This window comes from Homo sapiens, chromosome 10, assembly GCF_000001405.40.
Source record: "Homo sapiens chromosome 10, GRCh38.p14 Primary Assembly".
NCBI lineage: Eukaryota > Metazoa > Chordata > Mammalia > Primates > Hominidae > Homo > Homo sapiens.
The window spans coordinates 851685-875773 of record NC_000010.11 but is presented as its reverse complement, the minus strand read 5'-3'; the positions used below and the strand labels follow the sequence as shown (position 1 = coordinate 875773).

The 24089-nt window shown below is 42.2% G+C and overlaps 1 protein-coding gene across 18 annotated transcripts in view, besides 1 other annotated feature; it reads left to right on the top strand.

The window, feature by feature from the left end:
* Positions 1–24089, top strand: part of LARP4B (La ribonucleoprotein 4B) — a 181428-nt gene that overhangs the window by 112568 nt on the left and 44771 nt on the right. For 12 of the 18 annotated variants that reach the window (XM_047424897.1, XM_047424894.1, XM_047424893.1 and 9 more), the window contains 2 exons: positions 11504–11651; positions 11891–12031. In XM_047424897.1, coding sequence (XP_047280853.1) covers positions 11504–11651; positions 11891–12031 — 289 coding nt within the window. Of the gene's footprint in view, positions 1–2563; positions 4200–5690; positions 5766–11503; positions 11652–11890; positions 12032–24089 lie in introns of those variants that run through there. The other 6 variants (XR_001747069.2, XM_017015988.2, XM_017015987.2 and 3 more) reach the window with 2 other exon arrangements.
* Positions 12014–12858: an enhancer, noted in NCBI's record as "H3K4me1 hESC enhancer chr10:908856-909700 (GRCh37/hg19 assembly coordinates)". NCBI's record gives its function as "activates a minimal SCP1, AML or CMV promoter by ChIP-STARR-seq in naive H9 embryonic stem cells {active_cell/tissue: H9 hESC(naive)}" and the evidence as "EXISTENCE:reporter gene assay evidence [ECO:0000049][PMID:30033119]".

Genomic DNA, 24089 nt, shown 5'->3' with positions numbered 1-24089 from the left:
GGGCCTTCTAAGGGGTGATAAGGACACCAGGCTCTGCCCTCACAAGTGGAGGAGTGGATGAGTGCCATTGTGGTGGGAGTGACTGCATTTCCTCACATGTGTGATGGTGCAGCACAAAGGCCTCTCCAGAAGCAGCCTCTCGACTTGAGACTCTCAGCCTCCAGAATTGTGTGAAATAATCTCTGTTCTTTATAAATTGCCCCATCTCAGGTATTCTGTTAGAGCAGCACAGAATGGTTTCACAAAGGACTTCAAGGCTTGAAAAGTGTGGGGAGGAGACTGGAGAAAGAAACAACATTGAGGCAGTGTGCTGGCATTGGTTAGTATGAGATAGAAGAGGTCGGGGGAATGGTATCTTAGAAGCCGAGATCATAGAGGTAGGCTGGGGCCAGATTATGGGGGACTTTGAAGTGGGACTCTGAGATTCTATTCCAACTACTTAAAGTCTGCCTAACAGCTCTTTGAAATAGATGTCGGTGTTGGCTCCATTTTACAAATGAGAAAACTGAGACAAAGAGGTTAAATAATTTGCCAGAGATGACACATGTAAAAATGGAGCTGAGACTCAAAGCCAGGCAGGTGATCTCGTGAGCTTCTCTGCTTTACTATGTCCTTTCATTTTACAGCTGGTATGAATCGTTTGTGTCTTTAGTGCAGAACGTTTTTGCCATGTAGATGTTTAATTCTCTTTGAGTAGCATAACAGTATGGTCAATGTATGGTCTGAGTTTTGTTTTGTCATTCGAAGCTGCTACTAAAGTTCTTGGTGCCTCATTTCCCTTATCTGTACAGTGAATTAGTAGTATCTACCTTGGGGGTTGTTAAGGGTGCAAATTAAGACGTGTGACAAAATGGATGCATAGATGTAATTAATATTTTGTGAAACATAGTGCTATATAAAGTGTTGACTACCATTATCATCATAATCATTATGATGATTTCAGTACTTGAATTTTAGTATATTCATAAGTGTTCTTGTTACCTTTATGTTTAAGTGTAATTCCTAAACTTTTTATCATAAAAATGTTAATATTTTTAAAAAGTAAAACATTAATAGGACACCAGTCATAACTCATAGGTTAAAGAAACAACAAAATCTCTCTTGCAGAGGAACTAAAAGAATTATTTTGTTTTTCACATAGCCTGTCAGAACCATAATAAGAAAAAGAATTACTTATACTAAAAGCAAAACATCACAGATGTCAATGTAAGACAAGACCCATTATGTGAGTCCACAGTTAGGGACTGGACCACATAGTACATGAGCAACTTGTTTAGTTGTGGACAACGCCTGTTTTTCACCAGATGGCAGGCTGTGCGTTCCTGCATCAAGTACTTTCAAGAGACTTTCTAGTTCTGGTACCAGAGCTTGTAGATCTATTTTCCCTTTTTTTTCTTGTTCCTTCCTTTTTCTTAATTGGAGTGCTCAGACATCTGCAGAAGTGGAGCGAATAATACCATGAACCAAATGCAGCATCATTAACTTGAACATTACCCATCGCCACATTCGACTACTGTTTTGTTTTGTTTTGTTTTGTTTGAGATGGAGTCTCACTCTTGTCACCCAGGCTGGAGTGCAGTGGCGCAATCTTGGCTCACTGCAACCTCTGCCACCTGGGTTCAAGTGATTCTCCTGCCTCAGCCTTCCGAGTAGCTGGAACTACAGGCACACACTCCCATGCTCAGCTAATTTTTTGTATTTTTAGTAGAGACGGGTTTTCACCATGTTGGCCAGGCTGGTCTTGAAACTCCTGACCTCTGGTGATCCACCCACCTCGGCCTCCCAAAGTGCTGGGATTACAGGCATGAGCCACCACGTCCGGCCTGGACTACTGTCTTTAAATCTTTTCCTCCCTGTATGCACATGACTGTTTTAACTTTTATATATGTGTGTATATATTTACTATATTTGCTAGGGCATTTTAAAGCAAATTGTAGATAATGTGTCACTTTATCCCAGATACTTCAGCATGCATCTCTAACTGACATCATTCCATTTTCACACCTGACACAATTAGTAATAATTTCTTGATACCTACAGATACTATTTTTTATTGCTATTTATTTTTTTGCTCTCCTTTGATTTTTTCGTCTCTTTTTAAATTGCTATTTATTTCAGACATCATTTCGTAAAGCTAGAAAATTAGATACAACTGTGAGTAGCTATATATTTTACGGAACAAAATTCTGATACTGTTTTCCTTTGGGGGAATTTATGAACTATTTTATTTAGTTACCACCATCCCATGAAATATAATTTGGGAAATACTGGAACACTGTAGAAAAACCAGAAGCCTGAAATCTTTCTGGCTGGGATAATATTTTAAGTTATGTTTTATTGAGTTTATGAGAGTAAGAAAAAATACAGCGCAGCATTCTTGCTGCTGTTCTGAGCTTTTGGATCCTGGTCCTGTTTGGAATTGGGCACACGGAGTATGCTGGCTGTCAGTCGGGCTCTGTTGTCATTAGGATTTGGGTTTGAGTGGCAGGAACATGTGACCGCTGTGCAAGGGGTTATTTTTGGTCTCTGGGTGTTGGCTTCTCCTCAGAAATTATAGCAAGTTACTGTGAGGTGCGTCTGTGGAGGCTTGGGACCAGCACGCCTGTCGTGTGCTTGTGAGCTCTCAAACATGGGCTGCTGCTTCAGCAGAGAACTAAGTAGTGACAATGACAGTGAAAAAACTGGCCTGTTACAAAAATCTGTGGAGGAAAAGGAACCAGAAAACAAGATAAGTAAAACTTTGTCTTCATTATTTGATACCGTCAAAGGTGAGGAGGTTCACCGTACTGGCAGTGGAGCCAGCAGTGTAGCTGGCGTTAGCGCGCGGACAAGGATTTTCGCAGGGTCTGGGCACAAACAGGGTCATAGACCCAAGCAGTCATTGAACCCTCTTTCCTCTTTTATATATACATTCTCAACAAGGTATGAAAACTTGGGTGAGAATGACAAGAATTCAGATATTGTTGTTAATGAGCAGAATTCTGAGGGGGTCTGTGATCTACTGTGTGTGGGTAACGGCAGCCGACAAGGTTGTTGGGAAGATGAGGAGCTTTTCTCATGTGTGCTGGTGCCTTCTGACCGAGGCCTGCAGGAGGAAGCCTTTGTGAGTGGCCATCTGCACTGTTACCCAGCTACTTGTAAAAACTCTTTAGTAGAGAAAGAAATGGTGGTCAGCGTTCACCTCAGCAGTGGTGATGAGAGTAAGTCTTTAGACCTATCCGATAGGGAGAGGAAAGATGGAAACCCTGTTGGTATTGATGATCAGCAATGTCAGGATTCAGGAGAGTGCAAGTTTCACAGCATTTGTGTTGCCGACTCTGCCTGCCCAAGCGTGGCAGAGGAGCTGGGCACCTGGGTAGACACAGTAGCTGCAAGAGGAGAGTGTTGCTCTTCAGTGCCTTCAGCCTCGCGTGCCATGTCAGGGGCGGGCGAGCCAGAGCCACGGCAGGAAGAACTCTCGCCTTGGGACACGCTGGGTCCAGGTGAAAGGACAGGGGAATGCAGTGGGAAAGCCAAGCCTTGCCCTGAGCCTGTGGCGTTCAGCCATGCACCTTGTGAAGCAAACACTGATAACGTGCAGATGGAGGCTTTACAGGCAGAAGCTTGCACTGAATTCCCTAAAAATTACGCAGAAAGTAGTGCACTACATGGTATTGACCTACTCCCTGAATTAAATAACAACATGGACAGTGACTCACTAAGTCATGCGTGTGTCCTGGGAGAAAGTGAGAGCTGTAACTCAGGAGTAGGAAGTGAGATGGATCATCCACCTGGTGGCTTCCGTACTGACACTGCACATTCACCTGGTAGCTTTTGTACTGACACTGCATGTGTTGCAGGGAGTGATGACCCGGAGGTGGTAACAGTTGTTGTCGACCAGAGTTTACATTCTAAAAAGGAGAGAGAAAATAACTCTATCACACCACTAAGAGACAACGATGATTTCTACTTGGACGTTAACAAAGCAGATAGTATCCTTCCTGTTGGTCTAGATAGAATTGATTTAAGTCCTAAGAGGCCTATCACTGCAGTAAGATTTGGAAGTGGGTGTCTCTCAGGTCACGCTAATTCAAGAGAAGCAGCCCCAAGCCAGCTTGATGACTGCTGGGAGCCGGAACCTGTCCCCAGACAAGTCAGGAAGGCACAGCGCAGAGGGGACTGCAGCCTGGAGGCCAGAAGTCCCCTGCTGCCAGACAGAGGTGAGGTGTCTCTGCAATCTGAAAATAGTGCCTTTTACCAAGAAGAGGACAGAATTGGCGTTTGGAAGGCTGAGGGTCATGGTGTAAGGGCTTTTGAGTCAAAATCTTGGTGTCAAGCAGATGAGGCTGCAACACAGACCTGTGACCAAACTTGTGTGGAGCGTGTGGTGGACACGCAGGGGACGGTGCAGAGGACAGATGGCCTAAAGCTTAGCATGGCACAAGGAGTGCCCCCCGATGGCAAGTCTCCCAGTCACTCCAGATCTCTTCACAGTAACTGTGTTTCCTCCGCATTTATTTTCACCTGCACAGAGGAAGAAGAGAGGGAAACAAGCCCAGGTGACAAAACAGAGGGTGAAATATGTGTGAAGAGTTCAGTCAGTGTGTCACGAGACCAGCTGAGTGACCCTCAAAGGTTAGAAGGTAGTGAAAAAGAATCACTGCAAGCAAAGTATAGTGAGACAAGTGAAGATGACATAGAGACTGTCAAGTCAGATTCTAAAACAACCTATGAGTGGGAAACAGGTACACAAAGACATGAGGCAGTGCCAAGTCAGGATGTACTCTCCTGTGTTAGTTCTAGTGCAACAGAGAACGCTGATTTTGAAACTAATCAAATAGAAAAAAGTTATGAAACACACCGAGTATACGACTGCAAATATAATGTTCTTAGTGTGTTACCACATTTCAGTCCAAGTGTTAATCCAGTTATACAGAAGTCAGAAATAGTAGAGAATTCTGTTAGTGGTGGTAAAAGCCCAAAATGGAAGGGAATTTCCTCTGAATCAATTGAAGAAGCTTCTGGTATCTTTGGTAATAATACATCAGGGTTGAGTAAACCAAAACTAACATGTAAAGAAGAGGAAGAGAGACTTTATTTGGAGAAAGATAGTATTGACCCCAGAATTACTGACTGCCTGGGTCCATGTGGGACGAGTGAACGTGCACACCATTTCAAAGAAGGAAACGCCAAGTCCACTCTTACACAGTCGACTTTAAATGGTGAAATGGGTTTTATGGGAAATGCTAAGGTGAGTTTTGAGAAAATAGAGTCACGTGACACTCCCAGTGGCAATTTCTTTCTGGTTGGTGTTGATCCCACCCTAGCGGACAGATACACAGGTGCCCCCTGCGATGCAGCGCAGGGGATTCCCGCTGTCCCCGTGGACAGCAAAGACACGATTGTACCAAGTAGTGGCCACATTTTATCACTCACAGAAGGTGTCCTAAATAGATGTGAACATCCCTCAAAAGTGGATTGGCAGAGTTTCCCAGAAGGAGTCTCCCGTTTTTTGAGTGAATTTTCCTATTACCCGATGGGAGGGTTAGGAAACCCAGCATTTTCTGAAAGACTGGCCAGTGGTTGTGGTGGATATCAAATGGGCTATCTCTGGACTAATACAGTCACAAAAGGTGCTCTAGAAGGTGAAACAATATTTAGTGAGGATCTGCACCATAAGCCACAGGCCTTGGAAATTGCTTTGTTTTCAGAAAACACTCCTCAGCTACCGGTGTCAGAGGACGGTGTTGTTTGGGGATGGCATGATAGAGACGGACAGTTCGTAAGTATGTTTTCTGTGTGTTTACTATTGTGCTGCGGTATGCTGGGCTATACATTTTAATTTATTATTATTATTATTATTATTATTATTATTATTATTATTATTATTTATTTTTTGAGACAGAGTCTCACTTTTGTCACCCAAGTTGCAGTGGCGTGATCTCAGCTCACTGCAACCTCCACCTCCCAAGTTCAAGTGATTGCCGGGTTCAAGTAATTCTCGTGACTCAGCCTCCCGAGTAATTGGGATTACAGGCATGTGCCACTACACCTGGCTAATTTTTGTATTTTTAGAGATGGGATTTCGCCATGTTGGCCAGGCCGGTTTTGAACTCCTGACCTCAGGAGATCCACCCGCCTCAGCCTCCCAAAGTGCTGGCATTGCAGGCATGAGCCACCGGGCTGGCCAATTTTAATTGTTTTTAACTTAAAATTAATAAAGATTTACTCTAAACAGTGGGTAGTTATTTGAATGCTTATATATGGCTGTGAATTACTATAACATTAATGATTTCCAAATTGGAGAATATGAATTCTTGTTTGGTGTACTTAAGCCAGAGGTTGTGTGCAAACTCTTGTTAGCACTAAAGCATGCCCTGAGCTCTGTGTTGACTTTTTTCTGTCTGTGAATTTTGCCAGCTCTTCTGTCTTCCTGGCCGCAGTGTTGTCAGAGCCCTTTGAGGGCATCTTATCTCGTGGGCAGTGTAGTTGATTCGATAAGCATGTGAGCCCATTGAAGGTATAAGTCACACTGCAGAAGACAAACTTACCTAAAAATCTGTGCTTCCTTATATCTTTGTATGTGTCTGAGGCAGGTAGAATTTGCTGCTTTTAACTGCCTATGAAATCTTGGTTCTGTCTTCTTGCAGTTAGAATTACTGTGGAGCTCTTTCTTTTTCAGAACCCCGAGATAAGGCTGTCCCTCTGGTTTGGAAGAAGCTTAGCAAATGACTCTATGGGCAGCTAATTTGAGCATCTTTCCAGAAATTCTGTAATAAATGTCAACATCATTCAACAACAGGAAATTAGTTTTCTTCCACAAAACAGACATTTATCGAAGCAGTGTGATTGAAAGCACATACTCAGAGTAGCAAGATCTCATTATTCAACCAGTGGTTTATTCATGATTTTTGTGGGCAATGAAGCAAGGAAAAGTATTGATATTAAGGAGGTAGAGATGGCTCAAATGTCAACACTTACTATATGGAAATAAACAAGTAGAAATCCCCTTCTGTAGTGTAAGGAATGATCCATCAACCTCTTTTATTTCCGTGCCCACACTGGGAGTTTTTCTGGAGAGAGTTATGTTCAAATTCATTAGTTTTGCTCCTTAAATAGTTGTGGAGGCAAAACAGTATAAAACTACATCTTTAAGATAATCTGCAGTTAATCTTTTACAGAAGTGACATAATTTTCAGTTAGTTACCAGTGTCACTGCCTCAGACATCAACAAAGAGCATAAATGATGCCTAAGTGAGAGGTGTGCTTCCAGTTTTAAATTAGCTTTTCCATTATGAGGTATTCCCAAACAGTATTCTCATACGAAGCGTTACCACGTTTAACGATGGTGCCTTGCCTTTCAGAGCTTCAATTTTCAAAGTGCTGTTACAGGTGTCTTTTTTTTTTTTTTTTTTTAAGCAAATCTTAATATAGCAGCTATTACTCCATTTCACAAAGAACTGGAGGTAGAGCCTTGTATGGTTCTGAAGTCAGCAAATTGCCCTGAATTACTAAGCTTTTTAGTGCATCTGTAGGAGTGGTTGGTGCTTGCATGGAATGTTTCTTTCCCCTATTTCTCACCTGCTTTCTGTACCTCACCGGCCAGTCCCCCTTCTCCAGCATTAATTACTCCAGTTCCTAGTCAGTAACTTGTCAGAGAGACTGTTCTGTCTCGTATCGGTAGTTATACAAGCTTATTAATTGATACGTTATTTTTCAAAGTGGAGCATATTGTTTCGCACAGGATGGGGTGGGGTGGAAGGGTTTATTTAAAGCATCAGAACTCAGGCATGTTCACTTTGGAATGTGGCTGTTAAGGTCAGCTTGCCTGTGGTTTTAATAACCATTGCTTAGCCATACATTTTTAATGGAAAAATAAGACTTATAGTCAAGCAGACGACACTGGAGTTTTTTTTTTTTTTTTTTTTTTTTCAAGGATGGAGTCTTGCTCTGTCACCCAGGCTGGAGGGCAGTGGTACTATCTCAGCTCACTGCAACCTCCGCCTCCTGAGTTCAAATGATTCTCCTGCCTCAGCCTCCCAAGTAGCTGGGATTACAGGTGTGTGCCACCACACCCAGCTAACTTTTGTATTTTCAGTAGAGACGGGGTTTCACCATGTTGGCCAGGCTGGACTTGAACTCCTGACCACAAGTGATCTGCCCATCTTGGCCTCCCAACATGCTGGGATCGCAGGCATAAGCCACCACACCCGGCCGACGCTGGAGTTCTTGATAACCATTTAGAGTTCCATATTACTGCAAGAGAATAACCATATTTTATAGAAATAGTAGGAGATTCAGATCTTTGTTTAATACAAACTATTTCTCATAAATTATAAGTTAATGAACTCTTGATGAGTGTTGAATTTTGCTGAACGCAATTGCTTAGAATCTAACTTTCTAATTACCATCGTTTTTATGGGGAAGTTACTCTACCTTTCTCTGCCTTGGTTTTTTCATTTGTGAAATGAGTCCAGTGAATAACGACCTCCAAGACTTGTTCTGATTCAGTACAAGGAAGTGCGTAGAATGTGCTCAGCACGTGGTAGATCCTTGAATGTCATTAAGCCTTAAAAGACATCTTCATTCTTTCATTCCTGGTGACATCTCTTCAGTCACAGCATTGATTGAACATTTCCTAACTGCATACACTTGATTTGGACTTCTTCACTAAGAGGTAGTCATTGGTTAAGGGTAGAGTCCTAGTCATTTGTGGCATAAAACCTTGCAGAAGTTGTCAAATAGTGGAAAATATAAATTTATGTTATTTATTAAACATTGATTCATTCCTCATATATCTTGAGCACCTCCCTACTGAATTCAGGACTGTGCTGGCTATCAGCAGTACTACAGTGAGGAAAATGCCCATGGTGACTGCCACCCTGGAATAGGAGGAACACGAGGGCCACGGGAGCCCCAACAGCCATGCTGTCACTGCTTTCAAAGTGCTGTTGGTCTGTATTAATAAACCACAAAATGTATTTTGGTACTATAGGACAGTCAACTGCAAAAGGTACTAATAATAGAGAAGGTTACTGTTAGTTAGTGTTGGGAATTTAAAGCACGTGTAGTATGTGCATGAGCTGAGGGGAGCCAGCTAAGTGGATGGAATGGAACCGAGGCTGGAAAACTGGATTGTGTGGTGGTGGTGAAAACAGACTGGGTCTAATTAGGAAAGGTGATGTATGGAAGTATTAGAGTGGGAAAGAGAATAGAGAAATGAATTTACAAAGACAACAGATCAGGTGGAGCGGCGTAAACGCTGCCAGAGGCAGTGTTGTGGGTGACCTGTGGCTGTCTCCTGCCCCCTCATGTAGCTCCATGAGCTCCTGTCTGCTTCCTTCACCATCACACCTGCCAGCTCAGTGCCGTGCCTGGCACAAGCATGCTGGTGAACATGTCAGAGGCACTTGTTGGACAGATGGGTGGATGAGAGAGAAGAGGGCAAGTAACACTATGCAGAAGCAGAGGCCAAAAATGAAGTTTAGATGCAATGCAAGAAGGAAAATTGAAGAATTGGTGCTTCTTGATTATAATATTCTTGAAGGAACCCAATAATTTGCCCTATCACCAGTACTTAAAACAAAAACTAAAAAGAATTCCAGATAGATACTCATTTAAACACCTGGTTTTATGGGCATGGTGCTCATTGGTGCTCCAGTGACTGGGGGAGCAGGAACGAACAAACCACATCAGCTGCCTTCTCTCAGTTTCAGAAATAGTTTCATGTTTTTTACTACCAGCCCCATCACCTGAGCCAATGTGGATTTATTCTGTCTTTTAAAAATTGTTAATGCACCCATCGTTTATTTGACGGCTCATGGTGGTCCTTTCCAGCCCTTCTCCTGTGTTCTGGGCCGCAGAAACTGGTGTGTCTATGCTGCATGCTGGGGTAGTGCAGTGTAACTGCTCCCAGCTTGCAGCCTGATTCCAAGGGGCACCGGGGACCAGGGACCTGTCCCTTCCTCCAGAAGCTTTGACTTCCTGCACTGTGGTGTGAAGGTGGGTGGCACATTTGAAAAGGCAAATCATGTGTAAGTTTGTTGAAGGATTGTGTGTTTGGACATTTGACTTTTCTTTAGGCTTTGGGGAGTGCTTGTGTAAGCATAAGAAAGGCTTGTATCAGAAAAATCAGGGGAGTAGGGAGTATCCACATGGTGGGGGACTTTTGTGGGTTTATTCGCTGTGTCAGGAAGGACCACCAGTCCCCAGTCTCTGGGCAGGATGTTCTGGACAGACGGACGGGAAGAGCAAAAGTGCCAGTGTGCCCAGAGACAGCAAGGAGGTCAGTGTGCCTGGAAATGGACAAGGCCAGGGAGCAGTGAGCACAGGAGGGCGCTGTGGCTGCAGTGGGAACTTCGTCTTTTACTCCAAATGAGCCAAGCTGATGCGGGAGGGTTTTGAGTAGAGGACTGCCCTGTGGGACTAACTGAGCATGCGTGACTGTCATGATGGCCGATGAGCTTGGTATGTGCCAGGCATCATGTTGTTGTGCTGTCTTCCAGGTGAGGTTTAGCCCATGTTCCACAGCTGTCCATGGCAGCTTTGGCCTCAGCCCCAGTGATCTGAGAGTCCGTTGTCCAGAACACTGGACTAGCAGCTTCATGGTCACCTGTGGATTTTCTTTCAAGGTGATACTGAAGCTCTATTGGGAATGGGAACAGGTAGTTCTGTGAAAAATATGAGATATTTTATCTTCTTCCTCAAAGGATGCCTGAGCTTTCTTATCCTGTAGTATCCCTGACAGACCTGTTAGAACACCTTCATTCTTAGGAGCAATTTTCATCTTCTACACCTTTTGTTTATGTGACTTTTTGAAGCTTTCTTTCTTTCTTTTGTTTTAGAGATGGAGTTCTGCTCTGTCCCCCAGGTTGGGTGCAGTGGTGCGATCTCAGCTTACTGCAACCCCCGCCTCCTGGGTTCAAGTGATTCTCCTGCCTCAGCCTCTCGAGTAGCTGGGATTACAGGCATGCGCCACCACGCCCGGCTAATTTTGTATTTTTAGTAGAGACAAGGTTTCTCCATGTTGGCCAAGCTGGTCATGAACTCCTGGCCTCAGGTGATCCGCCCGCCTTGGCCTCCCAAAGTGCTGGGATTACAGGTGTGAGCCGCCGCGCCCTGCTGACTTGTTTAAGCTTTCTAATTAGAATTTTATTCATCTGCCTTGTATTCAAGTTTGTAAAACCCTGAATTGTGATTTTATTAGGAGTCTAGGAAGTCACCAGCTATTCCTCAGGTATAGTTTGTGAAACACTGAATCTTTTGGTGGCAGGCGTGTCCTTCCCCATCTCTGCAAGCCTTGGTCTTGGGAGGAGGAACTTAAAACTTGGGGGGAATTTAATGGAATTCTGACTGCTTTTTTTTTTTTTTTAATTTTGAACCTGATTTCATTCCAAAGGTGTGTATAAATACATAGGCTGAGCCTTTGGAGCCTATATCTGATGTCTCTTAACTCTGCATTAATGAGTAAAATTGTATTTGGTTGACATTTGGATACAAATGTCTATCTTACATTTCTTCCTAGGTACCAGCAACTAAGGTTTCAGAGCTGAACCCTAATGCAGAAGTGTGGGGGGCTCCTGTGTTACATCTGGAAGCAAGCAGTGCTGCTGACGGTGTGAGTGCTGCATGGGAGGAGGTGGCTGGCCACCACGCAGACCGTGGCCCGCAGGGTAAGTTGAGCATGGCCGTGGTGTGCAGCCCCCTGCTTTCAGGCCTGTGCTTTTGTTGCCATTTTAATCTGTCTTTAAGATGTTGTTCATTCATAACTGTGTCATGGTATGTGGCAGTGCTTGAGAGCCCAGAGGTCTTTTACAGTCTAAAGAAGTTGAGTCACTGCAAGTGTAAGCTTTGTTTTAAGAGAAAGTTATGCTTCTAACCCTGCCTTTTTGGGGTAAACTCCTAATTGTAGGATCGGATGCCAATGGTGATGGTGACCAGGGCCATGAGAATGCCGCATTGCCAGACCCGCAGGAGTCGGACCCAGCAGACATGAACGCTCTCGCTCTGGGTCCCTCAGAATATGACTCTCTGCCTGAAAATAGCGAGACAGGTAAACATATCTTATGGGTGCATTTTCCCAGGGAATATGGGCTGCTTTATTTATTTTTTTTATTTAGAGTATTAACATTCTCTACACAATGGGTCTTTCTTTGCCTGCTTTTAATTCTACTTTAAACTCACCCTTATGTGGATGCAGAGAAGATGAGAGGCCCTGGTTAGGGAGGTGCCATGGAGGAATGTAAGGTCTCAAAAGATGAAACCTGGGCCGGGCGCGGGGGCTCACGCCTGTCATCCCAGCACTTCGGGAGGCCGAGGCGGGCAGATCACGAGGTCAGGAGATCAAGACCATCCTGGCTAACACGGTAAAACCCCGTCTCTACTAAAAAAAAAATACAAAAAAAATCAGCTGGGCGTGGTGGCGGGCGCCTGTAGTCCCAGCTATTTGGGAGGCTGAGGCAGGAGAATGGCGTGAACCTGGAGGCGGAGCTTGCAGTGAGCCGAGATCGTGCCACTGCACTCCAGCCTGGGCGACAGAGCGAGACTCCATCTCAAAAAAAAAAAAAAATGAAACCTATTTAGTAGTGCGAAGTGTCAGTAAAAGTGCAGAGGTGGAACGTTAATGTTGGATTTGAGAGTAAGACAGTTTGGGTAAAGGGAGGGGGATAGAGAGGGAATGCTGTGGTATTGTAGGTAGGGGCAATTGAGGCCCCATTTGCAAGTCTTAGAAGCCATTCACATTTGAACTTCTTTCCTGTTGATGAGGAAATGAGTGACATGAAGAAAATAAGTTGTTTGGGGAAGGTAAATTTTGCAGGAGTGTGAAAGAATGGCTTGGAGGAAAGCAAATGTAAGACCATCTGGATAGAATCTCTGTTGTTCTCATGTAGGGTTGTAAGTACCTTAGTATGTAGTAGTGGCTAAAAAACGGAAAGGAAGAGAGTAGGTGGGAAAGGAGATGTTCAGGCCCAGTTATGGAGTGTACCACACGTTACTGGAAATGCAGGAACTTTTTCATGTTTTCATTTTTTTTTTTTGAGACGGAGTCTCACTGTCACCCAGCCTGGAGTGCAGTGGTGAGACATCGGCTCACTGCAAGCTCCGCCTACTGAGTTCATGCCATTCTCCTACCTCAGCCTCCTGAGTAGCTGGGACTACAGGCGTCTGCCACCACGCCCGGCTAATTTTTTGTATTTTTAGTAAAGATGGGGTTTCACCATGTTAGCCAGGATGGTCTCGATCTCCTGACCTTGTGATCTGCCCGCCTCGGCCTCTCATGTTTTCATTTTTATTACCACAATTGTTCTTAACCAGTCCCTGTCCCCTCCCCCACCCCACTTGCCATGGGCTTTTCGTTATCCCAGTGACCAGGGAATGCACTGGGCAGGGCTGGAGAGGCCAGACCTCGATGCTGTAAGGCACAGCCATGCAGAATGACTTCATTGGCTTAAGACTGTCAAAGTCAGAAACTGTCACTTAAGAGGGAAAATGTGTAGATGTTCTGTGACGGTTGTTTTTTTTTTTTTTTTTTTTTTTTTAACTTCAGTGGAGCTTATTGCTTTAAATAATTGTTTGGTAAAATGAATCAAGTATTTATAAAGGTACAAAAATTAAGCCATGCTTGTTTCTTGTAAATATAAATTTGCCATCTTGAATTTGCATAAAGTGAATTTCCCGTCTACATGAGCAGTTTTCTAAATCTGAGGAAGGCCAGTATTCAGCAATGTAATTTGATTACATCCCCCTTGTTAATTCACCAGTAACTGGTTAGTGACTTGGGAATGGCAGAACATTGGGATAAACTGGAGTCATGTTAGAGTCCATTGAATTTAAGATGGCAAAGGAAAGGAATGCTCATCATTAAAACAGATTTTTACAAAAGATAAAAAGGCATTATACATTGAGGGAGTGAGAATCCTAATGGTAGGAAGTAAAATGGTTCAAAATAAACAATTTAAGTTTCAGACTAAATTGAAATGACCTAATCTTGAACTGGGGTCAGAATTTATACAGAAGATGGAAGATAGATAGGAGGTAGACAGATGTGAAGATCTGTCTTGAGGATGGAAGATGGGTAATGTTATCAACAGTGAAATAACTTGTGAAAATCTGCCTGAAGACAGGAGATAGATAACGTTACCAAAAGTGAAATAACATGTTAAAATCTATCTGAAGATAGAAGATAGGGAACATTATCAAAAGTGAAATAACAACATGTTAAAGTATATTCTGGAAAGTTTAATTTCAAAAGGTGATTCTTTTTAAAAGGGGTATTTAAAACTATTTTCAAAAAGAAGAAAAAGAATACCTTCTGCTTTGTCTTCCTCCTTCATCTGCCTCCACCTACTCCCTCTCTCACTCCTATAAAGCATTAGTGAGGCATAACCGATGTACAATAAACATCATATACTTCAGGTATACCCCAGATTTTCTGTAGCTTACAGACAATTGAGGAAATAATACATTATTAATGTGTTGCCTCTTTCATTCCTCTTTGCTTTGTCCACCCAGTTTGATAAGTTGTTCTGTACCTGTAAAATCCTCAGCACAATCAAGATCACGAACATCCCAAACACCAGGAAGAGCTTCCTGTGCCCTCTCCTTTCTCCGTGGAACCGGTGGTCTGTTTTTTTCTTTTTGAGATGGAGTCTTGCTGTGTCACCCAGGCTGGAATGCAGTGGCGTGATCTCGGCTCACTGCAACCTCCGCCTCCCGGGTTCACGCCATTCTCCTGCCTCAGCCTCCCCAGTAGCTGGGACTACAGGTGCCCACCACCACACCCGGCTAATTGTTTGTATTTTTAGTAGAGACGGGGTTTCACCGTGTTAGCCAGGATGGTCTTGATCTCCCGACCTCATGACCCGCCCACCTCGGCCTCCCAAAGTGCTGGGATTACAGGTGTAAGCCTTCATGCCCGGCCCAGTGGTCTGTTTTCTATCACTATATGTCAGTTTGCGTTTCGTAGATTTTTTTTCTCTTTAAAAAAAAAGATGGAACTCCTGGGCCCAAGAGATGTGCATCAGCCCCACAAGTTGCTGGACAACAGACGTGTGATAGAATTTGACAGTGTGTACTGTTTTTGTCTGACTTAGGTTACTATTTTTGAGACTGATTCATGTTGTAACATGAATTAATCATTTATTTTTATTGCTGAGAAGTATTCATGATATGGATAGATCACAGTTTGTTTTTCTATTCCCCTATTCATGGATTTTGGGATTGTTTTCAAAATGTGGCTTTGCCAATAAAAAGTGTTCATAAAAGTGAACATTTGTCAGCAAGATTTCATATAAACATATGTTTTCATTTCTCTTGGGTAAAATACCTAGGAATGGAGTAGCTGGATCATCTGGTAGGCATGTTTATCCTTTTAAGAAATGGTAAGGCAGTTTTCCAAAGTGGTGGTACCATTTTCTATTCTCAACCAGTGGTGGATTAAAGCACCACATCCTTATGACCCTTATGACCTCAGGGTCAGTCTTTAATTTTAGCTGCTGTAAAAGGGAGACAGTAGAATCTTACTGTGGCTTTAATTTATGTTTCCCTAAGGACTAATGCTATCAAACATCCTTTTTAAAAAAAAGACTGTTTTTTTTAGAGCACTTTCAGGTTCACAGCGAGTTTTAGTGGAAGGTATAGAGATCTCCCATATACTCCCCTCCCCCCCACCCCCACACATGCATGGCCTTCTTCACTATTCACACTCCCTCACCAGAGGGTGCCTTTGTATAATTGATGATCCTATATTGGCACATCATTATTACCTGGAGTCTACAGTTTACATGAGGGCTCACTCTTGGTGTTGTACGTTCTGTGGGTTTGGAGAAATGTATAATGACATGTACCCTCCATTGTAGCATCAGAGAGAGTAGTTTCCCTGCCCTAAAAGTCATCTGTGTTCTGCCTACTCACCCCTCCCTCCCCCCAACCCCTAGCATCCATTGGTTTTTTCACTGTCTCCATAGTTTTACCTTTTCCAGAATGTCATAGGGTTGGAATCCTGCAGGATGTAGCCTTCTTAGATAGGTTTCTTTCATTTAGTAACGTACATTTAAGCTTCCTCCATGTCTTCAAGGCTTGATAACTCATTTCTTTTTAGCACTGAATAACATTCCATTGTCTGGACATACTACAAATTACTTAGTCATTCACCTACTGAAGGACATCTTGGTTGTTTCCAGGTTTTGGCAATTACAAATAAAGATGCTGTTAGCATTCATGTGCAGGTTTTTGTACGGAAGGAAGTTTTTAACTCCTTTGGGTAAATACCCAGGAGTGTGATTGCTGGATCATAAGGTCAGAGTATGTTTAGTTCTGTAGAAAGCTGCTGAACTGCCTTCCAGAAGTAGAATTTCTGGATCATATGGTAATTCTTATGTTTAACTTTTTTTGGTGGAATCACCATACAGTTTTCCATACAGGCCATAGTATTTTACATTCCCACCATCAGTGTACAAGGGTTCCAGTTTTATTAAATCCTTGCCAATACTTGTTATTTTCTGATTTTTTTTTTTTTTTGAAATGGAATAATTCTGTTGCCCAGGCTGGAGTGCACTGGAGCAATCTCAGCTCACTACAACGTCCACCTCCCGGGTTCAAGCAATTCTCCTGCCTCAGCCTCCCAAGTAGCCTAGATTACAGGTGTGAGCCACCACGCCCAGCTAAATTTTGTATTTTTAGTAGATACGGGGTTTCACCATGTTGGCCAGTCTGGTCTCAAACTCCTGACCTCTGCCCATCTCAGCCTCCCAAAGTGCTGGGATTACAGGCGTGAGCCACCACACCCAGCTAACTTTTGTATTTTTTGTAGAGACAGGGTTCAACCATGTTGTCCAGGCTGGGTTCGAACTCCTGACCTCAGGTGATCTGTCTGCCTCGGCCTGCCAAAGTGCTGTGATTACAGGCATGAGCCACTGCGCCCAGCCTATTTTCTGATTTTTTTGATAGTAGTCATTCTAGTGGGTATATCTTTGTAGTTTTGGCTTGCATTTCCCTAATGGTTAGTGATGCCAAGCACCCTTTTTGTTCTTATTGGCCATTTGTCTTCTTTGGATAAATGTCTATTCAAATCCTTTGCCTATTTTTGAATCAGGTTTTTGTTAATGTCTTTAGGAGTTCTCAATATATTCTGTGTATTAATCCCTGATCAGATACATCAATCACAATTATTTTCTTCCATTATATGGGTTGCCTTTTTATTTTATTCAAAGTGTCTTTTGATGTACAAAATTTAAAATGTTCATAATGTTCAGTTTGTTTATTTTTTGTTGGGCTGCCTATGCCTTTGGTGTCATATCTAAGATAACATTGTTGAATTTATTATAATGAAGGTTTTGTCTGTGTTTTCGTCTGAGTTTTATCATTTCGGGTCTTACATTTAGATCTTTGATCATTTTGAGTTAATTTTTGTATATGGTATAAAGTATGGATCCAACTTTGTTTTTGCATGTGGATATCCAGTTGTCCTTGCACTATTTATTGAAAAGACTGCCCTTTCTCTATAGAACGATCGTGGCACGCCTGTTAAAAAAAACAATTGGCCATGTATGCAAGGATTTCTTTCTCGGCCCTCTCTTCTGTTGCATTGGGCTGTGTGTCTAATAGGCCACCGCAGGGAAAGCCTGGAATTTTAACTGTGGGCCTACAAGAATATAGAGGAGCCCTCATTGTTAACCAACAGGGGGATCCAAAGTAGGAGTTTAAGCTTAAAAAATTTTTAATTTTGTTTCAGGTCAGATTTTTGCTCTTTAATTTTAAAGAGAATTTTTAAGGCTAACCATAGCATTGTTGGGTCTTTCTAGAAATTGGCTTGCATTTCCTAGTGGTTAGTGATGCCAAGCACCCTTTTTGCTCTTGATGTTTTTATCAGTTGTTTAGGATGAGATTTCTAAAATCCTTTTTTAAATTTACAATTCTAATTTAAAGGATCCATCTTTTGGCCATTGACATTTAGAATTTTCAGTGGTGTATAAAGTCCAGGATAGATCCTGGAGAGGACATAGAAGAAGCAATTCCAAAGATACCTCCCACAAAACATTTACTGTCAGGAATGAGCTCAATCAGCAAAGACTCTTGTTGACACAGACTAACCAGGCAGCAGGAGTTGAGATGACAAAAGCCCCTTACACGTGGGACCTCTTATTAAGACAAACTCCCGAGCGCTTGACGTATGCAGAACAAAAAGTCTTGGGTTCCTGTCTTCAGACCGGCCACCCGACCTGATCCGAAAATCGTACCTCCCCCAATGGTGGAGACCAAAGAGTGCTCCCACTTGGTCACAGTTCAAGCTCTCAAGGACATAAAACAAGACCCAAAAAACTTTTGTTTCTGAGGCCTTCATTTTGGGGTATTGTTTTCTGAGTGCCAGCAGAGGTTTCTGTTGATAGATCCTCATCCATGTCCAGTCTCCTAATAGCCCATCAAAGGCAGTCTGCATTTCTGTTACAGTAGTTTTCATCTCTCACAGTTTTTTTCCCCCTCCTTGGGATTTCCATCTCTCTGCTTGCATTGCCCACCTGTTCTTACCTGCTGTCTCCTTTATCCATTTGAGCCCTTAGCATCTTATCCTAGTTCTTTTAAATTCCCTGTCTCATAATTCTGACATCTCTGTCATGCCTGGTTCTAATGCTTGCTCTGCTCTTGACATTGTGTTTTTGGCCTTTGTGTATGCCTTGTAACTTTCTTGAGAGCCAGCTGTGACGTGCTGGGTGGAAGGCACTGTGGTGACTATGCCTTCAGTGCTGTGGGGTGAGGTGTGGGCAGGGGACGCCTTCCATAAGAGGCCTGGGAGTCTCAAGTCTGTAGTGAGCCCGGGCCCTGGACTGTGAAGCTCACAGGAGCTTCTCTTCTTTCCTCCCCTCTTAGGTGGGGCAGCATGACCAGAGGAGGCAGGAGCTAGGTGTTTCCCTTCCTCTAGGTATGTTCTGCTCTGATTAAACCCCAGCAAGTTGGACTGTGGTTAAACTGTCTTTCCTGAGGGCAGACCTTGTTAAGAAGAACAGAGTGCTCTGGTATTTTTCAAAACGGTTACTTTTCTCCTACTCGTGCCGGAAGCACAAAGGGATTTTTCTCTAGTATTCCCTGTGAGGACCTGATCGAGCTCCAGAAAGTATAAGTCACAAAAGTGCAGGAACCCCTCACCCGCCAATGACTGAGACTCCCTGCAGTTTTTAACTCTCAGACTTGGCCACCCTGAGCCTCCAGCAGTTAATCAGTTCCAGGACAGTGTTTTCTGTCCTCGCCTTGGTTCCTGCAAAGGTTTCTGCTCCATATGTTGTGATCGCTTCTCTATTTATCTGTCTGTCTGTCCAATTTGGCAGCAGTTGTTTGCCTTGTGACTTTACGTAGGATCTAAGAAGAGTTGTTAATTGTTCTTTTTAGATTTTTTACTTGTCAGACCAGAGTGATAACTTGCAGGCTTCTCACATGCAGAACCTGAAGTTGCAGCATTTTTTTGTAATGCATATATCTTATTTGGTGTTGTGCCTGTTTGTGCATTTTCTTATTGGGTTGTTTTATTACTCACTTTTGATAGTTATTTATATGTTTTGGATATAAGTCCAGATACGCAATGTACTTTGTTCTCCCAAGAGTATTTTTGAAAAGCAGTTTAAAATTTCTTGTGTAATCAAGTTTATCATTTTTTTCTTTTATGGCTCTTCCTTTTGGTTTATATTCCTCCTATAAGTTTAATTGCTTTAGATTTTACATTTCTAGGTCCATTTTAGGTTAGTTTTTGTATAAGGTATGAAATATGGATCAAAGTTATTTTCATTTTGTGCATAGGAATCTGCAGCTATTGCAGCACTGTTTGTTGAAAGACTTCTCTCTGCTGCGTTGCCTTTGCACCTTTCTCAGAAGTCGTTTGTCCACGTAGGTCTGGATTTATTTTTGGACTGTCTGTTCTGTTCATTGATGCGCTAGCCCGCTTTGACTCCAGTAGTGCACTGCTTGGATTGTCAGCAGAGCTTGCTTCATTGTGCTACTCTTCATTGTGCTTTGCAGCTACCACCTTCTTTATAAATTGAAGTTTTGTGGCAACCCTGCATCAAGCAAGTAATTGGCACCATTTTTCCAATAGCATGTATTCATTTCATGTCTCTGTGTCACATTTTCATAATTCTCACAATATTTTAAGCCTTTTCATTATTATTAATGCTAGTGGTGATCGATGATCTTTGGTGTTTTGTACTACTGCCATTGTTTTGGGGTGCCAGGAGCCACACCATTTAAGGTGGCAAACTTAATATATAAATGACGTGTGTGTTCTGACTGCTCCACTAACTGGCTCTTCCCTTGTCTCTCTCTCTCTTTGCTTGGGCCTTCCTATTCCCTGAGACATGACAGTATTGAAATTAGGCCAATTAATAGCCCTACATTCCCTCTTCTGAGGGTTCCAGTGAAAGGAAGAGTTTTACTTATCTCACTTTTAATCAAAAACTAGAAGTGATTAAGCTTAGTAAGCAAGGAATGTCAAAGGCTGAGATAGGCTGAAAACTCGGTCTCTGGAGCCAAACAGTTAACCAAGCTGTAAATGCAAAGGAAAAGTTATTGAAGGAAATTAAGTGCCCCTCCAGTGAACCCAGAAATGATAAGAAAGCAAAACAGCCTTCTTGCTGAGATGGAGAAACTTTGATCTGGATAGAAAAACCAGTCACAACAATTATTCCCTTAAGCCAAAGTCTAATCCAGAGCAAGACCTTAACTCTCTTAAGTTCTGTGAAGGCTGAGAGGTGAGGAAGCTGCAGAAGAAAAGTTTGAAGCTCACAGAGGTTATTTCATGAAGTTAAAGAAAAGAAGCAGTCTCCATAACATAAAAATGCAAGGTGAAACAGCAAGTTATCCAGAAGATCTGGGTAAGATAATTGATGAAGATGGCTACAGTAAATGACAGATTTTCAATCGAGACAAAATAGCCTTATATTAGAAGGAAATGTTATCTAGGACTTTCATAGCTAAAGAGAAGAAGTTAATCCTGGTTTCAACATTAGAAACCAACTCTCTTGTTGGGGCTAATGGAGCTGGTGACGTTAACTTGAAGCCAGTGCTCATTTCCCATTCTGAAAATCCTAGGGCCCATAAGAATGATGCTAAATTTGCTCTCCCTGTGTTCTTTAAGTGGAACAACAAAGCCTGGATGACAGGACATCTGTTTACATCATGGTTTACTGAATATTTTAAGCTTACTGTTTAGACCTACTGCTCAGGAAAAAAAAAAACAAAGATATTTTTCAGATTTTAATTTCTCATTGAAAATGTACCTAGTTACCCAAGAGCTCTGACAGGTGTACAAGGAGATGAATGTTGATTTCATGGCTGCTAACACAACATCCATTCGGTAGCCTATGGATCAAGGAGTCATTGTGTTTTCAAATTTTCTTATTTAAAAAATACATTTCATAAGGCTCTAGCTGTATAGATCATGGTTCCTCTGATGGATTCTGGAAAGGATTCACCATTCTAGATGCTGTTAAGAACATTTGTGATTCGTGAGGGAAGGCCAAAATGTCAACATTAACCAGAGGCGTTGATTCCAGCCCTCACGGAGGACATTGAGGGGTTCATGACCAGTGGAGAAAGTCACTGCAGAGGTAGTAGAAATAGGAAGAGAACTGGAATCAGAAGTACAGCCTGAAAATATGACTGAATTGCTGCAATCTCATGTACAACTTGAATGTGTAAAACTTGCTTCTTATGGATGAGCAAAGAAAATGGTTTCTTGAGTTAGAATGTATTCCTGGTGAAGACGCTGTGAATATTGTTGAAATGACAACAAAGGATTTAGAATATTCCATAAACCTAGCTGATAAAGCAGCAGCAGGGTTTGAGAGGATTGACTAATTTTGAAAGAAGTCCCACTGTTGACAAAATGATATCAAACAGCATCACACGCTGCAGAGAAATCTTTGGTGAAAGCAAGAGTCCGTCCACGTGATATACTTCGCTGTTGTCTTAAGAAATTGCCGCAGCCACCCAAGTTTTCAGCAGCCACCATCCTGAACAGTCAGCCCTCATCATCAAGGCAGGACCAGCAAAAAAGATTATTATTTGCTGAAGGCTCAGATGATCGTTAACATTTTCCAACAATAGATTCTTTTTATTTATTTTTTTCCAGACATAATCTCACTCCGTCACTTAGGCTGGAGTGCAGTGGCATGATCACAGCTCATTGCAGCCTCTGCCTCCAGGGTTCAAGTGATTCTTGTGCCTCAGCCTCCCAAGTAGCTGGGACTACAGGCATGTGCCACCATGCCCAGCTAATTTTTGTATTTTTATTAGAGACAGGGTTTTGCCATGTTAGCCAGGCTGGTCTTGAACTCCTGACCCCAGGTGTTCCACTTGCCTCGGCCTCCCAAAGTGCTGGGATTGCAGGCCTGAGCCAGCATGCCCAGCCAGCAATAGAGTATGTTTAAATGAAGGTATTGTAGTTTTTTTTTTAAGGACATACTGCTATCTCACATTAAATATACAACAGTTTAGTGTACTCATAATTTTTATATTCACTGGGAAAACAGAACTTTGTGTGACTTGCTTTATTGCAATATTTGCTTGATTGCAGCACTCTGGAACTGAACCCATGATATCTCTGAGGTATGCCTGTACTGTTAATAATTCTTGAAATTAGGTAGTGATAGCCTTCCAACTCTGTTTTTCATAGTTACTTTTTAAATTCCAGTTCCTGTGTATTTCCATGCAAATTAGAATGAGGTTGTTAATATCTACAAAGTGCTGAGATTTTTGTTGGGGGGTTCACTGAATCTATAGATCAGTTGGAGAACATTGACATCTGAACAATATCCATGAACAAGATGTATCTCTTACTTGTTTAGATCTTTAATTTCTCTCAGAAGTATTTTTTGGTTTTCAGTGTACTGGTCTTTTACATCTTTTATCCAGTTTATAAGTATTTTATATTTTTTGGTGCTATTGTAAGTGATTTTTAAAATTTGTATTTGCAGTTGTTTGTTACTAGTATATCAAAGCATTCATTTTTATGTATTGAGTCCAAACCCAGAAATTTTGTTATGCTCACTTATTAGTTTTAGACACTTTTTTGTAGATTACATTGGATTTTCTACATAGATGATTGGATTATTTTAGAATGAAGACTGTTTTACTTTCTCTCCAATCTTGATGCCTTTTATTTCTTTATCCTGCCCCGTTGTACTAGATAGGCCCTCCAGTACAAAGGTGAACAGAAGTGGAAAGAATGAACAAACGTTTGGGTTGTCTCTGGTCTTACAAGAGGCACTCAGTATTTCACCATGAAGTATAACGTTAGTGGTGGTTTTAGGTCTGTGCCCTTTATATGTTGATGAGGCACTCTTCTTTTCCTGGTTTGCTGAGAGATTTTTATGAGGAATGAATATTGTAATTTGTCATCTATGGAGATGGGCATATATTTGTTGTTTTTTAGTGTGTTCGGATGAATTGTATTAATTGTTTTTCAAATGTGATACCAACATTTGTGGTCTAAACCTCTGTAGATCATGATACAGTATACTTTGGATATACTACTGGATTCCATTTACCAAAACTTTGCTTAGAATTTTTACACCTGGGATCTTGGTTTCTAGTTTTCATTTCAGTGTTTTTCTTTCTATTTAAGTTTTTGGAAGAGGTTACGTATTATTTCACCCTCATATGAGGAAGTGAAACAAGTCATGTGGGCAGGAGTTTTCCTTTTTTCTTCTTTCCTTTCTTACTTACTAAACTTACTTAGTTTAGTTGCTCACAGAGTCTTGCTCTGCCACCCAGGCTTGAGTGCAGTAGCATCATCATGGCTCACTCAGTCCCAACCTCCCGGTCTCAGGCGATTCTCCCGCCTTAGCCTCCCAAGTAGCTGGGACTACAGTAGCACACCACCACGCCTGGCTTATTTTTGTATTTTCTGTAGAGATGGAGTTTCACCATGTTACCCAGGCTGGTCTCCAAACTCCTGAGCTCAAGCGATCCGCTCACCTCAGCCTCTCTAGATGCTGAGATTACAAGCATGAGCCACTGCGTCCCACCTGGGCAGGAGTTTTATTTGTGGGAAAGCTTTCAACTACAGTTTATTTTTTCATAGTGCTACTCATTTATTTCTTCTTGAGGGAGCTTTGGTTTATATA